General features: G+C 44.1%; 1 long non-coding RNA gene across 2 annotated transcripts; it reads left to right on the top strand.

Moving 5' to 3' along the window:
• Nucleotides 1–5,055: 5,055 nt before the first annotated feature.
• On the top strand, nucleotides 5,056–16,119 carry LOC107984171 (uncharacterized). Of its 2 annotated transcripts, XR_001747285.1 has the most exons (5): nucleotides 5,056–5,143; nucleotides 8,744–8,890; nucleotides 10,584–10,735; nucleotides 15,364–15,509; nucleotides 15,697–16,119. It is a non-coding gene; the product is annotated as an uncharacterized LOC107984171 (long non-coding RNA). The 2 variants fall into 2 exon arrangements; XR_001747286.1 differs by lacking the exons at nucleotides 10,584–10,735; nucleotides 15,364–15,509; nucleotides 15,697–16,119 and adding an exon at nucleotides 9,139–9,314.
• Nucleotides 16,120–17,942: the final 1,823 nt, after the last annotated feature.

Consider the following 17,942-nt stretch of genomic DNA (forward strand, 5'->3'; position numbering starts at 1 on the left):
CAAAGTGCTGGGATTACAGGTGTGAACCACCACACCCGGCCTCCTTTCATTTTTTTTTAAAAATTTTAGATCCTGACTCACCATTACTTTCTCCATCACTACTCTCATTAATTGTTGACAATTTTAATACTCCTCCAACCATAATTTTTTGAAAAGTTAAAAACATGGCCAGGCACAGTGGCTCATGTCTATAATCCCAGCACTTTGGGAGGCAGGTGGATCACCTGAGCTCAGGGGTTTGAGACCAGCCTGATCAATATGGTGAAACCCCGTCTCTAATAAAAATACAAAAATTAGCCGGGCATGGTGGCAGGTGCCTATAGTCCCAGCTATTCAGGAGGCTGAGACAAGAGAATCGCTTGAACCCAGAAGGTGGAGGTTGCAGTGAGCCGAGATCGTGCCACTGCACTCCAGCCTGGGAGACAGAGCAAGACTCCATCTCACACACACACACACAAAAAAAAAGAAAAAGAAAAGTTAAAAACATGACTCATAAAAATATTGAATGAACACACATCAAAGATTATTAATTCATGGACAAAGAAATCACTAAGATGGTAAAGCTGATTCTAAGAGTACTTTGAGAAACTGGTGATTTTTATACATTTTGAAAAAAATTAGAATAGAATTGCTAGGTTAGATACAAAACCAGTTAATGTCCTACAAGGCCATAAAACTATGATCTTTGGGGCTATCTCTTTTACTGCACAGACTCTACAAGTTAATGTGTAACCTTACAGTGTCTGGACCCTAATCGATGATAAATAATAAAGTCAAACAACGGTACCAGGTACATTCTCTTAGAAAATGAAATGATTCACAGGTGGGCCTGTAAAACATGCTCCAGTATGATATTGAAGAGGTTTGTCACCTCCATTCACCTAAAATCCAAGTTTTAGATAATGTTTCTGAACATTCACCATGGATGAGTCTCTCCACACTGAGGCTTCTCATTCCTCTGTGCTCATCTCTTGCAATCATCTTATTCTCCATTCCACCTCTTCTGTTCCACCTCTTCTCCCCTGCTCTTGTCCCCAGACCATGTCATAACCACTCACTAAAACCCCTCCATTATTTCAGTTGCAGGCATCCCACTTTCCAACTGCCATCTCCCATCTTCCAGACCACTTCATCTAGTTTCCTATCTCCAACCATTTTCAGCTCCAATAGAAACTACACTCCACTGATCCATCACCTTTTCATATCTCTTCTCACCCTCTTATCTTCACATCCTTCCATCCCCAGTGTGAACTCCATATCAGTTGCCATGATCACTCCCTTTTGGGGACCACCAAATTTCTTTCCCAGCTCTCACTTTGTCCCACTGTCTTGGCTAAGCCACAAACATGGTTGAATGTAGCTCTTCTCCCACCTGTGCCCGCCCCTGTTGAGCTAAACATTGATGGTGAAAAATACCAGCATATTGACATCTCTTACTTGAAAATTGTGATCACTAACCTTACATAGGCCTTCAGAATAGCCAGGTAATCAAACTACATTTCCCAATTCCATTTCCTCTCCCTTTCTTCTAAACTGTGTTATGGACTGAAAGTGTCCCCCCACAATTTATATGTTGGAGCTCCTATCTGCAATGTGATGGAATTTAGAGGCCGGACCTTTGGGAGGGAATTAGCGCTTTTTTTTTTTTTTTTTTTTTTTTGAGACGGAGTCTCACTGTTTCCCAGGCTGGAGTGCAGTGGCACGATCTCAGCTCACTGCAAGCTCTGCCTCCCAGGTTCACACTATTCTCCTGCCTCAGCCTCCCGAGTAACTGGGACTACAGGCACTCGCCACCACACCTGGCTAATTTTTTGTATTTTTAGTAGAGACGGGGTTTCACCGTGTTAGCCAGGATGGTCTCGATCTCCTGACCTTGTGATCCACCCACCTCGGCCTCCCAAAGTGCTGGGATTACAGTCGTGAGCCACCGTGCCTGGCTGGAGGTAATCAGTTTTAAATGAGGTCATGAGAATGGGGCCCCCCATAGTGGCATTACTTTTCTTAAAGGAGGAGGTAGATAGACCACAGCCTGTTCTCACTCTCTCTCGGTCTCCACCTCCATCTCTCTCTCTATCTCTCCATCCCTAACTCTATCCTGTCTCTAGCTCTATCTCTCTCTCCCCATCATGTGAGGACACAGAAGGTAGCTGTATGCATGCTTTATTTTTCCACTTAATACTCAGCTCCATCTAAGGTAGTATCTGTTTTATGTATTTATAGCACCATGTTTATCTTGTTTAGTGTCCATCTCAACGTACGTAAAATATCTAACTATCTTACATAATTTTTGTGAGGATCAAATGAATGAGATCTTTGTAAAATCTAAAGACGGAAATTTGTTATTGCAGCTGCTGGTATACTGGGGAAACCTAACAAAAATCAAGTCAGCCAATGGACTTTCCCCCTGCTTTTTTCTTTAAAAAATTAGGAAGTAACTAAACTCCTTTCAAATGGATTATTTAAAGGAGATTCAGACTTCATTTATTGTTCTTCTGGATTCTCCCAGGTTTCAGTTTCACAAGTATAAGACTCCTGTGTTCAGACTCTTTCTGGGAACCAGAGTATGATCCCTGTAGCTCCTTTCCTTTTCCAAATCACATTCTAGACAAGAAATTGGCTCCAAATTATTCTATGCAATTCTAGAATCATTTTTCTATGGCTTCAAAAACCCTATTCAGTGCTCATAAACTTGGTCTATGGATATTTAAACTCCACAAGGAAAATTTGATGCAAATTGACTGTGTCTGTTTATGTAATATGTCCATCTAGGAATGGGTTTCTCTGCCTTCTGAGTTTGTTTGGGGTATGGGTATGAGATCTTGGCTGAGGTGCTCCGCAGCAAACATATTTTCCAGTGCCATTTTCATTGGCAGTAACTTTATTATGCCAATCTAAATGGACTGATGAAATTATTTTGAAAATAATCTTTAAAGGTAATCAATAATTCAGATCTGAACTTTCATAGATCATTTTTCTCACTCCCCTCTAGCAATCCAGACTGTCAATCCTCACTTGAAAACAGTGAATATATTGTGTACTTGTAAAAAGAGGAGGCTGAGTAGCAGAAAAGCAATTAAAAGGTTTGATTTTGGGTAGGAGAAACAAACATCTTTTCACTCAGATTTCAGAATGAGGGGGCATAGATTCCATGGAAACCTGAAAAAGTACCATTATACCTGTGATACAGTCCCAGAAGGAGGCTGCTACCTGGCCTGTCCCAGTTCCACTCCAAATGACATTTTTCCATGTTGGGATCTGCTTGTCCCTGGTGTTAAAGAATGTCTCCTGCAACACTTGCAAATGTGGGGTGAGTTGGGCCTACAATGGCTCAAACTACCAATCAATTCAGTGTAAGGATTACCCAGAGTGGTTGTGTGAAATTTCATTACCCAAATAGCCTTTTGGTTGACTGTTTTTCAATTTCCAGTTGACTGTGGCAGCAGTAATTTTTCTGAGAGGTTGTCTCAAAAATTTTCTGCTAGAAGAATGTCTTTCAATGGAATCCTATTAGAACCCACTAAGATGCTGTTTGATGAATTCTCCAGAAAGTTTTTCTGTAACCTTGCCACCAAGTAAAAGACTACTAGTATGCCATTTGTGAGAGACAAGTTCACCTACCAGATTCCAAAGATTGTATGCATGTATCTCTTGGGACTCAACAGAAGGCAAAGCTGGCTCACTTCAGTGAAAAGAAATTTATGAGGAAGATTTTGCTCCCACAATCCATGAGGGACTAAAGGCCTAAGATTGGGAGCACAGAGAAACCAAAAGAGCCCCAGAGGGACAAGAAGCAGACACCAGAGCAATAATCTCATGGTCTAACATGTCTGGGCAGGTCACCACTACAATAGATGGCCTTCCAAAATTTTCTTTTCCTGCCCTCATTCTCAAAGTCTAAAGTCCTAGAGACTCTTGTTGCTGGTATGGACAGTGGTGGTGAGAGGAAGGAGCTGGAATCAGATTTGGATAATGGAAAAAGCAGTTTGCTATCATTATTCCACCCCATGGAGGATAGATTCATCCCTAAGAAAATCAGAGCATTGTTAGGAAAGTGAGTGAATGCTGGTAGCCAAATATAATGTTTTCTGTTACAGCACATCACAGGATCAAAACCTCCAGGGTACAAATTATTTATATTGTTAATCCAGGACTATAAGCTTACATGCATTAATTTCCAAATAATGCCCTATAGATAATGAATGTATTTTAAGTACTTAATTGTTGCTAGTTATCTCTTGCTGTATAAGAATAATATTCCAGACTGGGTGCAGCGGCTCACGCCTGTAATCCCAACACTTTGGGAGGCCAAGCTGGGCAGATCATTTGAGGTCAGGAGTTCAAGACCAGCCTGGCCAACATGGTGAAACCCTGTCTCTACTAATAATACAAAAAAATTAGCTGGGCATGGTGGCGCGTGCCTGTAGTCCCGGCTGCTAGGGAGGCTGAGGCAGGAGAATCACTTGAACCCAGGAGGCAGAGGTTGCAGTGAGACTCCATCATAAAAAAAAAAAAGGGAAGAATATTCTCAAACTTAGTGGCTAAAAGCACCTATTATCTTAGTTTCTGTGGGTCAGGAATCCAGGCATGGCTTAGCAAGGTCCTCTGCTTCCATGTCTCTCACAAGGCTGCAATCAAGATATCGCCCAGGACTGCAGTCTCATTTGAAGTCTCAAGTGGAGAAGGATCCGCTTCCAAGTTCACCTTTATGGCTGTTGGCAGGATTCAGTTCCTTCTTCTGGCTAGAAGTCATCTTCAGTTCTTTGCCATGTGGGCCTCTCCAATAAGGCAAGAGAGAATCTGCTAGGAAGAGGGAAGTCCTAATCTTTTGGAACCTCATCACTAAAGTGAGAACCTGTCAACATTGCTGTATTCTATCGGTTAGAAGCAAGTTACTCAAGGAGAGGGGATTATCAAGGGTATCAGTACCAGGATGCATGGATCCCTTGAAACCATCTTAGAGGCTACCTACCATGTAAACAAAACAATTGTTACATTAAATTGTAGTAAGCATATTGACTTCTTCTCTCAATAAATAGATGAATTGTCCAGGGTTTCTGCAGACAGACCAAAGGTGATGATCCCACATCAGCAACAAGAGTCAGGAGGAAGTCTTCAGAAGCAGGAATGCATAGATCCAAGAAAGGTAAGATAAAGTCAGACCAGGACATGGATCCCATTCCTGGTTTCAGCCTCTGCTGGGCTCTGCATTTAAAGACTAGGCCTCCAGAACCACCTGAAGCCAGGTGACCCCAGGGTCCTACCTAGAATCCTTAGACAAGCTATGTTCTCTGAGCTCCACATTTTTTCCATGTTTGTTCAAGAAGAACATAAGCTCCTTTGGCTATCTCATTTCTCCTGTACTTTTCTATTCATACTATTCTATTATTTCTCTCCCATGCCCCAGCCTCCCTCCATGCCTATCCCCCTACATCTCTCTCCATCTTTGTAACTCTAAGCTCCATAATAGACAAACTATTGTATTCCTAGTTGCCTCCTAGATATGTGTCCTCTCTGGAATGTTCTTCTGCATTTTCCATTTTGTGTTGCTATAAAGGAATACCTGAGTCTGGGTAATTTATAAAGAAATGAGGTTTATTTGGCTCACATTTCTGGAGATTGTACAAGAAGCATGGCACTAACATCTGCTGCTGGTGAGGCCACAGGTAGCTACCACTCAGGTGGAAGGTGAAGGGGGATAAGTCATGTCACATGGCGAGAGAGGAAGCAAGAGAGAGAGGGGTAGATGCCAGGTTCTTTTTATTTTTATTTTTTATTTTTTGAGATGGAGTCTAGCAGTGTCGCCCAGGCTGGAGTGCAGTGGCATTATCTCAGCTCACTGCGGGCTCTGCTTCCCGGGTTCAAGCGATTCTCCTGCCTCAGCCTCCCGAGTAGCTGGGAATACAGGTGCCTGCCACCACACCTGGTTAATTTTGTATTTTTAGTAGAGATGGGGTTTCTCCATGTTGATCAGGCTGGTCTCGAACTCCTGACCTCAGGTGATCTGCTCACCTCAGCCTCCCAAAGTGCTGGGATTACAGGCGTGAGCCACTGCACCTGGCCGATGCCAGAGTCTTTTTAACAAACAGATCTCATGGTAACTAATAGAGTGAGAACTCATTCATCACCACAAGGACAGTGCCAAGCCATTCATGAGGGATCTATCCCCATGACCCTAACACCACCCACCAGGCTTCACCTCCAGCATTGAGAGTCACATTTCAACCTGGGACTTGGAGGGGACAAATACTCAAACTGTATCATCTTCTTTCCGCAGATCAGGGCATTCTGCTACAATCATATGCCATGAGGAAGCTTTCTATGACCCGTCAGGCCAGATTAAGTCTTCATATTTTGTATACATAGCCACAGTTGACACTAAAGTTTATCTCATACCACTTGTCACAACAATAAATAGCTGCATTGGTCATTTTTTTGGCTTAATGAATGCATTTGCTAAATTGGACACCCATGAGAGCAGGAAGCATGCATTTCTTATTGATCGTTGCATTATTATTATCATCCAGCACGGTGGCTCCAGATAGAGCAGATGGGCGGATCATTGACTTTTTTTCTTTTATGAAACAAACATTTAAGAGTGTTCTATCCCTAGTTTTGTATTTTATAGAACAAGGAAGGCTCTCTTCTAAGGGCTCACTTGCCTGGCAAACACCTCGCGGGGAAGGCACTCATCCTCCTGAGAGCCCAGAGGCCAGTAGGTCTCTTTTTGCCCTCCCCATCAGCTTCCAAACCATGATTCCTTCACCATCACATAGAAATCACCATTCTTTTCAAACTCTTGGGCATCCACCCACACCACCATTCTTTTTTTTTTTTTTTTTTTTTGAGACGGAGTCTTGCTCTGTCACCCATGTTGGAGTGCAGTGGCACAATCTCGGCTCACTGCAACCTCCACCTCCCAGGTTCAAGCGATTCTCCTGCCTCAGCCTCCCTAGTAGCTGAGATCACAAGTGTGTGCCACAATGCCTGGCTAATTTTTGTATTTTTGGTAGAGACAGGGTTTTACCTTGTTGGCCAGGATGGTCTTGAACTCCTGATCTCATGATCCGCTCGCTTCCGCCTCCCAAAGTGCTGGGATTACAGGCGTGAGCCACTGTGCCTGGCCGCACCACCATTCTTGATCCCTCACGGCTGTAATCTGTGGTTTTCCTGGTCGTTTTCTCCTATTCATCACTCTTCAGCACATCTCATACATTGTCTCCTCCTGTACCCCAAGTGCCTCAGTAATTTCAGAAACTTCTGAATTCATCAACTTAGCAGAGTTGAACACCTTGTTAGGAAACTGAACTGGAGTCCACTAGCCCAGCGCAGTGAGGCCACACATCCACACTGAGGTTTGCAGCTGGAGAAAGGAGGGCATTTATTTGCAGGGCACCAAGCAGGGAGAATCAGGCAGCTAGCTTACCTTTAAGGCCCAACCTCCTCGATGGCTTGTAACTAAGGATTTTAAAGGCAGGGGTAAATTTCAGGAAAGCGGAGGTTACAGACAAAACTGTTAATCAAGACATGGAAGTTACACGTTGGTTTGGCTTAAGAAGGTGGACTATCCTGAAGTGGGGGCTTACAGTGGGGGCTTGAATCTACATATGTAGATTCAAAGGTTTCCTGGTTTGCAACTGCTTAAGGAAAAGAGGCTTTGTTTTAAAAATTGGAGTCAGCAGATAAAGAATGTTAGCTCTGGCTCATGGGTGTGACTTCCTCTAGAACCCTCAGGAAGAAATTTAGAACAAAGGACAGTGGTCAGCGTTCAGTCCTCAGTCTCCCCTTATCTGAGGTCTGTGTGCCAGTGGATTCATCTGATGGGGTTCCAGGTTTCTGAAAAACAACTCAGAAGCATATGTTAAGATGTTATCTTTAGTTTCAATAGGGAACCAAACACCCGTGACTCTAACTTTGTTGGCTATTGTTTTAAACTACTATTACCTTCTTGCTTACAAAGTTGCTCATTTACTTCTTAGGGCTAGCTAGGTGCCTGGAATTTCCCTTGAAAGAACTCAAGATTTTCCCTTATTTCCCTTCTAGGTGGGGGATTCCTGCAGGCCTCTAGGACAGTCCCTACTCTGTCTCAACCTCAAAGGAGAAAGATAATGCAGAAAGAGAAATGTCCCATGCACTATCCTACACCTTAGGCTCATAGACCCTTGATTGCTCCTATTCCAGCTCCAACAACTACCACTTTCCTTCCCATTTGGCCAACATTATCCACAGCCACATGGGATACTCATCACCTGGAACTGTTCTGCCACTGGAACCTTTAACTATAATCTTCCATGACCCATCTGATCCCCATCCCCATCCTTCTTGTCTACTCTCTTACTGACCTTCATGGTCTTCCTTCTTCAATCCTGTCAAGATGTTCAACCTCTGACACCTTTGTTGCTGCAGAAATTCGTTTTTTTTAAATTCATACTAGTCATGATCCATCACCTACTGGGGGCTGTGGAGTCTGGCGCCATCAACTTGAATCCAGATGATGTTATTTACAGCTGTGTGGCTTGAAACAAATTACTTAACCTCTTTGAGTTCCAGTTTCCGCAGCTGAAGATGGGAACAAAATTATTGTCTATTTCATAGAATTATTGAGGATTAAGTGAAATAGTAATAAATGCAAAGAACTTAGCTCAAGGACCATCAAATAATAAGTGTGAAATAAATATGTGCCATTACTCATTGTGAGGGTGGTGGTAGTTGCTTTCTCACCAAATGTCCTTTATCCCTCTCCCAGATCATATGTGAAGCACCAGTCTATGCTCTGTATCTCGCCTTCCACTTTTCAAGGCATCACTCTGATGAAGATCTCCTCCTTCAGCTGTGCTCTCCATGGCCTCTGAACATATAACATAGTCCTAGCTCACCCAAATGAAACAAACAGGTAACACAAAATCTTCCTCAATCCTTTCTCCTTTATCTTTTAAATTTCTGTTTCAATTTCCTAAAAGACTTTATTTTTGTCTAATTACACTATCGAAACTGTTCCTTTCTAAATCACCATCCTCTTTTCAGCTTCCAGGAAGGGGCAGACTTTCCTAAGCCATAAAATAGTTCCAGTTTCAACCACCCACCAGGGGAACGGAGACCTACTCACCTTACAGCCATGACACTAAGGTTTTTCTTTTCCAGACAAAGAAGATCTGCTTCAAAATGATGGCTCTCTCAATGGAGAAACCTGAAAATGGCTGACATCCTTTAAAGAAGACAGATTCACACACACACACACACACACACACACACACACACACGCACGCACGCACACATTCATGCGATCTTTTTCACCCATCCCCACGTCCCCACATTAAGCTACCGTTTTATCACTTCTTCCACCTACCAGGACATCTCTTTTTTTTTTTTTTTGAGACAGAGTTTTGCCCTTGTTGCCCAGGCTGGGGTGCAATGGCACGATCTCGGTTCACAGCAACTTCCGCCTCCCCAGTTCAAGCCATTCTCCTGCCTCAGCCTACCAAGTAGCTGGGATTACAGGCATGCACCACTATACCTGGCTAATTTTGTATTTTTAGTAGAGACAGGGTTTCTCCACGTTGGTTAGGCTGGTTTCTCCACGTTGGTTAGACGGGGTTTCTCCATGTTGGTTGGGCTGATCTCGAACTCCCGACCTCAGGTGATCTGCCGCCTCAGCCTCCCAAAGTGCTGGGATTACAGGCGTGCTGGGATTACAGGCGTAAGCCACCACGCTGGCACATCTCTCTTTTTTAAACTTTTATTTTAGATGCAAGGGATACATGTGCAAGTTTGTTACCTGGGTATATTGTGTGATACTAAGGTCTGAGGTATGAATGATCTTGTCACCCAGGTACTGAGCATAGTACCTAATAGTTTTTCAACCCTTGCCCTCTTCTCCTCCTCCCCCTCTATTAGTCCCCAGTTTCTATTGTTGCCATCTTTGTGTCCATGTGTATTCAATCTTGATCTCCCACTTCTAAGTGAGGACATGCAGTATTCAGTGGTTTTGTTTCTGCATCAGTTGGCTTAGGATAACGGCCTCCAGCTGCATCCCTGTTGCTGCAAAGGACATGAGTTCATCCTTTTTCATGGCTGCATAATATTCCATGGTGTACACATATTATATTTTCTTTATTCAATCCCCCATTGATGGGCACTTAGATTGATTCCATGTCTTTGCTATTGTGAATAGCACTGCAATGAACATGTGAATGAATGTGTCTTTTTGGTAGAAAGATTTGCTTTCTTTTGGATATATACCAAATAATGGGATAATAGGATTGCTGTTCTTTGAGAAATCTCCAAACTGCTTTCCACAGGGGCTGAATTCATTTGTACTCCCACCAACAGTGTATAAGCATTCCCTTTTGTTTGCAGCCTCTACAGCATCTGTTGTTTTTTTTCACTTTTTAGTAGTAGCTATTCTGACTGGTGTGAGATGGTATCTCATTGTGGTTTTGATTTTTATTTCTTTGATGGCCAGTGATGTGGAGCATTTTGTCATATGTTTGCTAGTTGCTTGTATATCTTCTTTTGAAAAGTGCAGGACATCTCAATATTTACTTTAACTCAACTCTGTGTGTGTGTGTGTGTGTGTGTGTGTGCAGGTAGGGAGGAAAACAAGGACAGAAACCAGGAGGCCCAGCCCAGGATTAAAAACACACCACAGCCTTTCCAAAAAGTCAGAGTCATACATGGATCACTTGGAAATAACTGAACTTGCAAATCCAGTTTCCCATGGACCTGCTGAGTTTATGAGGTAAGAGAAGGGAAGCGTTCACATAATGAGAGATGATTCTTTTCATTACCGTGGTTGCAAACTTGGATGATGGCAGGAGCATTTGTGCTTGGCTACAGGATTCCAATTCCTGCCTGAGATTTCAGAATACCCTTCCTGCCCTTCTTTGAAGATGGCCAGGATCCTTGAGGATGCCTTGCAGTTGTTGGGCCACCCTCAATTTCCCATAAAGGTGGCATAGCCACCCCCTCCGCCAACACATACCTTATTAAAATCTTTCTCAGTCTCCCTTGAATTCTTTCGTGTACATCCGGCACTCGGGCCTGCAATTATCTTGCTTTTAAATCACCTGCAGAGGAAGAAGGCATGCAGGCAGAAGCTGGCTGGGGCATGTCCTGGTCATCATTGTGTGCCCAGGTAGGCAGTGGGCCCTTTGAGAAAAGGACGGCATTCTCTTCTTGTCACTCCCCCATCCCTACCACCCCTCACTGAGCATAGTAGAAATTTAATAAAAATTTGTCAATAGATTAATTGCATCATTACCTGGTTCTGTTGTGAAAGCAGAAGCTAATCCCCCTGAGACTTTACTCCCCTGCTTTATTTATTTATTTATTTATTTAGAGACAGGGTCTCATTCTGTCACCCAGGCTGGAGTGCAGTGGTGTGATTATAGCTCACTGCGCCTCAAACTCCTGGGCTCAAGCGGTCCTCCTGCCTCAGCTTCCCAAGCAGCTGGGACTACAGGTGCACACCTCCACACGCAGCTAATTTCTTAACATATTTTAGAGATGGGGTCTCGCTTTGCTGCCCAGGCTGATCTCAAACTCCTCTTCTTGATCCTTCCACCTCAGCCTCCCAAAGCACTGAGACTGCAGGTGTGAACCACAGTGCTGGCTTAGAAGGGACTCCAACTAAGCTAGACAGTGAGAAAGGAGGCCAGAAGCCGAGCCCTCCAAAACTGCCATGAAGTTCCCCCACTGCCACGATCAAGGAGAGCCAGGTGTGCCCATTCTCACTCCTGGGTTCCTTGCTGTCTCACATGTCTAAGGTCATTGGTCCACCCCTCTTTTGGACTCTGCTTTTCTCAGCCTCAGGTGACTATGGCTTTCAGATTCCATCCCTGGTCTCTGCCTTTTCCTGTCCTAACCTTTTGGAGAGTGATCATTGGAAGCTAGAGCTCTCTGCTCAGCCAGCACAGAGGAAAAGACCCTGGTTCTGCCCCTGAGTCAGAATCCAGGTTCTGGGACTTGCTCCTGTCTAGATATGAACGAGTGTCAGGGTTTATCTAAAACTGTAGGAATTGGACCCCATGTAAACTTTCTCATCTGTACAGGTCACAAGTCACCTGAGATTCCTGCAAATCATTCGGATACCTGGGCCCCCTCTTGAGGATTTGGGATTAGTGGGCCAGGGGAGGAGCCAGGAATCAGTGCAGATAACAGGCAAGTCTTATCAGGGAAGTTGGGGGAACAGTGGTTTGCATGACTCTCAAGTTGCTGCTGACCCCGACAGGGTCTTGCTCGAATTCCTTAAAAATTGGATTTCCACATAGTGGTCATTGTGTGCCACCTTCACAATTTTGCCATATTTATACATGCCATGACCTTATTGCCTTTATGCTTTTCTTTAAATCGTTCTGAATTTTTAAAAAACCACCTTCTTTAGCCTATTATGTACAAAATCTCTGTTTTGAGGATTATTTCCTCCTCATATACAGTCATATAAATACATAATTCAAATTTAAATATTCGCCCCAGTTCCAACAAAAACCATGTCAAATGCTACCCACTAGGATATGCACTGCACTTTGGAGACACTATTTAGGTAATGCCACCATCCAAAGTCAAAGGGTAGGGAGCTCTGAGGTCAGGAGGGGCAGGGTATCGGAGCTGTGAGGTCAGGAGGGGGCAGGTGTCCCCTGGGTGTGTGGAGCTGTGAGGTCAGGAAGGGCAGTTTCCCCTGGGTAGGAGAGGGGCTGTGAGGTCAGGAGGGGGCAGGTGTCCCTTGGGTGGGAGGAGCTGTGAGGTCAGAATGGCCAGGTTCCCCTTGGATATGTAAGCTGTGAGGTCAGGATGGAGCAGCCACAGGAGGCCTTCCCAGGAGCTGACCACGTTTTCTTCCTTGACCCAAGTTGTGATTACCCTGGAGTTGCTTTATTATCATTCTTTATATAATCCATTATATTTTATGCACTCTTCTTTATTTAGCTTAATTAAGAAAATAAAAAGAACTTAGAGAGTGAAAAAGACAAGGCCAGGTGTGGTGGCTCACGCCTGTAATCCCAGCACTTTAGGAGGCCGAGGCGGGCGGGTCACGAGGTCAGGAGATCGAGACCATCCTGGCTAACACGGTGAAACCCCGTCTCTACTAAAAATAGAAAAAATTAGCCAGGCGTGGTAGCGGGTGCCTGTAGCCCCAGCTACTCGGGAGGCTGAGACAGGAGAATGGCGTGAATCCGGGAGGCAGAGCTTGCAGTGAGCCGAGATCATGCCACTGCAATCCAGCCTGGGCGACAGAGTGAGACTCCATCTAAAAAAAAAAAAAGACAAATTGTTCTAGCAGCAGTTCACTTAGTGGACATTTAAACCCTGTTTCACCCAGCAATGGGAACACTGCAGCCCCATAACCTTGGGCTGGGGTGGGACTCCTGGGGAAGGGTGATGTCTGGGTGGTTTCCAGAAGCTTTGTGCTGTGTGTTTCGGACCCTTATCTCTGGAATTAAGTTGCTGAGTATGAATGAGGCTGACATAGAAAAGCTCTGTTTAATCACAATCCTTAGCCGAATTCTTGGTGGTGTGAGTTTGGGGAAGGAGGAGTGCATAAAAGCGATAGCATTGTATACCAGTGTCCTGGTATTGTTGCATCCCTGACTCCTTCCCGCCACACACCCCCCTCGCCGCCCCACACACACACACTCAGAGCCATTTTTAAAAGGAATCCCAGTTAAGGTAAGCATAATACCTTAAAAGCAAAGCCTTATCTTCTCTTTCCATCAAGCTCCCTTGAAAGAGCACGCTGTCTGGCTGGTAGTTCTCTAGGAATCTGTTTTCTTTGTGGCAGCTGCTGAACCCAATGAATCAAGCCAATAAACTATTTTGACAGCATCTGCTTCTTTTATTCTTCCTTCTCTCCAATCCTGGCCCCAATCTAAAAGCCTCAGACACCATCCCTTCCTTCCCCCACGCTGAAGCAGACAGCCTCTGTAACTAGTTAATGGTGCCATTCTTCAGCAAATCTGAAGGCCTTGGCAGGAGCCCAGGGGCCATGGGGAAATCGAGTTCTGTTTTCCAATTGACACACTGACAGAGGCATTCGTCCAACTGGGCACCCCCTCTCCAGAGGAGGCTGGCTATATGGAGAGTGTGGCAGGGCCATCTATCCCCAATTGTGTCCTCTAATGAATTGTCACCACCTCTGACTTTCAACCATTTATTCTTTTGAGCCTTGTTGTAGTCTTTCAGAGTTTTCCATAAAAATCTCCGTCCCCAGAGAAATGCAGTAACACCTAAACACCTAGCAGGGTGAGTCAGTACCTGGCTAGGTCACAGGGACTAAGGGGATTGGGTTACTGTGTGGGTGGAGTTCTGGACAAGGAGAGCTGTTTAAGGGTGATGGTGAGGAGAGATGAGAGGAGGGCACCGCAGGCCTGTCCGGGCTCCCACTCCAGCTGGCCTGGGTTAGACAACCACAACTTAGCAGTGCTACCATGAATGCATAAGGATGGCCTGACATCTGGGAGAAATAATGAGTTTCTAACTTCCCAAGTTTCTATACGTTCATTTTAAATGTGGAGAAAATGCAAAGGTGCAGTGTGATGGTGTGAAAATTCATGAGTTAAATTCCTAACCCCTAAGGCGAAGCCTCGATTATAAAGGTGGAACCCTGATGAATGGGATTAGTGCCTTTATAAGAGACCCCACAGAACTAGCTTGCTCCTTCCCCCATGTGAGGACACAGCCAGAAGGCACCGGCTTCTGGTTTCTATAAACCAGAAGGCAGGTCTTCACCAGACATTGAATCTGCTGATCGCGTGCTCTTGGACTTTCCAGCCTCCAGAACTGTGAGAAACAAATTTTTGTTATTTAAAGTTTCCCATTTTATGGTATTTTGTTATAGTAGCCTGAATAGTCTAAGACATTGGGTTATTGTTACAACAACAGGTAGATTCTTTGATTTCTAGGAGAGTCTTTCCAGAAAAATAAGACCACTAATACAGAGGCTTTATATTCTATAGAGGAATTTACAGACTGGTAACGGAAAAGATAGGCATATTGTTTTAGTCTATTCATGCTGCCATAACAAAACATCTTAGACTGGGTAATTTATAAAAAGCATAAACTTATTGCTGACAACTATGCAAACCGGGAAATCAGGGTTATGGAGACTAGGGAAGTCTAAGCTGGGGGATTAGCAGGTTTGGTGTCTGGTGAGAGCCCAGACACTGCTTCCACGGTGGCGCCTTCAACGTGGCATCCTCCTGAGAGGCAAGGAGGAACACTGTGCCCTATATGGTAGAAGGCTGAAAGGACAAAAAAGGGCTGAATGTTGTGGGAAACCCCTTTTATAAGGACATACAATAAATCCAGAGAGCTTGGAAGCTGACTGGTTTCTTTTTATGTGTGCCAAGATTATTGGTATTATCTTTACAGGAAAAGGTGGCTGTGGCCATTACCAAGTTATTAAAACCACAGAGATCTTGACTTGTATGGACTGAGATGAGGCTTCCATCAGCATCTCGCATAAATAACATAACACTGATGCAGCAGATGAACATGGAATCAGTGACATCCACAAGGTAAGACCTTTTCTTCTTTGCCTTGGGCTCATCTAGACCCCTGTGGCAGGAGATTCTGAAGCGTGGAACATTACTGATTCTGAAATGATACAATTTATGCCCTGACTAAGCAAGGTCCACCTTTGGTTATAAACATTGGATCCATCATAAAGTTATTAAGCCAAGATCATGTTTTTGGACCCTGAAGAAGACAATAGGCTTGGAGGAGAAACAGACCTTGACTTCAAGACACAACGCAGAGGGAAATATCGCTGATACAAAGCTTGAAGATGATCATCTATGTACCCATCGGGACATTTTTAAAGGGACAAGTGGAATGAGCGAAGACTTTGAAGACAGTCTTGTCTGCCAGGCACTCAGATCATCAGGAAGCAGAAAAGGAGATGCAAGATCAGGTTGAGAGGTATTTTGTGCAGGAATACACATTCAGTGTTATAATGTAATTGAAAAAGAGTCTATTTCAGAGGCATCAGCTTCACAGCCACCATGGTTTAACCTCACCTGTGGTGTGAGATGGACAGTGGGTATGGGTGGCCCCTCCTATGGGTGGGAAGCACAGTGATGTGTTGGGCACCTGAGCAGGGCTGCCAAGATTTTCTAAAGCATTCTGTGGACCATTCTGTGAGCCCCTACAAGGGGTTCTGAGCTCCTTGCCCTGGGATTTGATCCAATGGACCTATCTAACTGGTATCTCCAATGTCAGAGGTGAGTGAGAGCTTCTGTTTGTTTGAACTCTGCCTGACCTCAGTCTCAGTGCTTATTTTGAACCAGGAACTAAATGTAGAGGAAAAGTATGGAGGACAAAGTGCACAATTATTTTCTCTTGGACAGATCTTCGACGTCCTGCTTTTCCCTGGGGAGCACTTTCCCTGGATGCAGGTAGACACAACTTCTTTCTCCTAATATGCCCACCCTGCATTCTCCCTTCGCCCTGGTCTTTTCTCATGATTTTGGGAAAGTTCCAGACAGTCTCTCTGACTGGCAGCAGGAAAAACACAGTGCAATATAATATATTGTGTATATTTAGCATGACGTGTAAATATTTTATAGAAGCTAAAGTAAATAATATATATATTTGTAATGTCAGTGTAAATATTTGATAGGCTGCAGTAGGAATCCAGTATGTTTGGAGCTGGGCACAGCACCAGTGGGAGGAAGGGACAAGGTCAAATCAGAGGGCAACCTGTTCATGACGTATCTGAAAACATCTCTTTTTCTCCTTCTGCCTGGCTGCTGCTTTGAACGCTTGACTCTCAACATTCAAATATTCTCACGTGAATTATCCACAGCAATTCAAGACCAAGCCCTATAGCTTTAGAGGCTGCTGGAAAGAGAGCAGCATGTAAGATCCTAAATAACTGGCTGAATTATATTTATTCATTTGTTGACTTGTTTACTGTCTATCTCATCCATACAATAGAAATTCCTGGAAGGCCCATCTTGCCTATTATCATATCTCCAGTGCATAAAACAGTTCCTGACACATAGTAGACACTCTGTAAATAATTCTGGACTGAATAAATGGTGAGATTTGATGCCAAACTGAGGAGAAAAAAACTGCAACCCCAGCCCTCCCTGAAAGGGCCAACATTTTAAATCCATTAGTCATGCAAACCTTGAGGGTGAGTTTATTTAAATTAGTGATAAGAACTAGCTGAAGTTAGCTATGTGACAGGCTGATGTTGTTTCACTGGAAGGGGAAGAAGGTATTTGGGGCCCTAGGGCTCCACGGTGAGGTCCACGCCAGAAGAGTTGTCTAGGAGGCCATGGAGGTAGTGAGGGGCACAAGGCAGATGGGGATAAAGAAGCAGAAAATCTACAGCAGAAGATGAGAGGGAAGTGGAAGACACTAGAATATCTTTACCACCTCCCAAATTTTCCAGGACAACCTCTTTACATGCATGACTATGAGTAAGTGTTTCAACATTAAATGCAACCTACTGTTAGCTTTCCCGGGACTAGTTACCCAGAAGGTTTTACTTCATCTAAAATGCAACCAATAATAGCATTCATAGCAAATGCTTATGTTGTATTTACCCAGACACTATTCACATTGTTCTACACGCATGAATGCATTTCACCCTTAGAACCCCCAAGTAGAGGAAAAAGAAATTCAGGAGATTATGTGACTGAATTATCTAGGGATGATCATGAGCTACGTTCCTTTCACCTGTGAGTATCAAATACTACTGGTGTCAGTAGAGGCAACATGTCCCTCTTTCTAGATGCTCCTCTTCCTGTGTGTGTTGTGTTGGGTTGTGGGGGAAGTCTTAGTGAGAAGTTCCTGGACTTAAGAAAGGTAGAGTAGCTCCCAGGTAAACAGAACCTGCTTGGAAACAGGTCTAATCTCTTACAAAATCACAGAGCCCAAAGAATGTAAAGGCCCTGAGAGGAACTAAGTCTAATAGCTCCACCGAGTGATGCACGGAGAGT

This window comes from Homo sapiens, chromosome 10, assembly GCF_000001405.40.
Source record: "Homo sapiens chromosome 10, GRCh38.p14 Primary Assembly".
In the NCBI taxonomy this organism is placed as follows: Eukaryota; Metazoa; Chordata; class Mammalia; order Primates; family Hominidae; genus Homo; species Homo sapiens.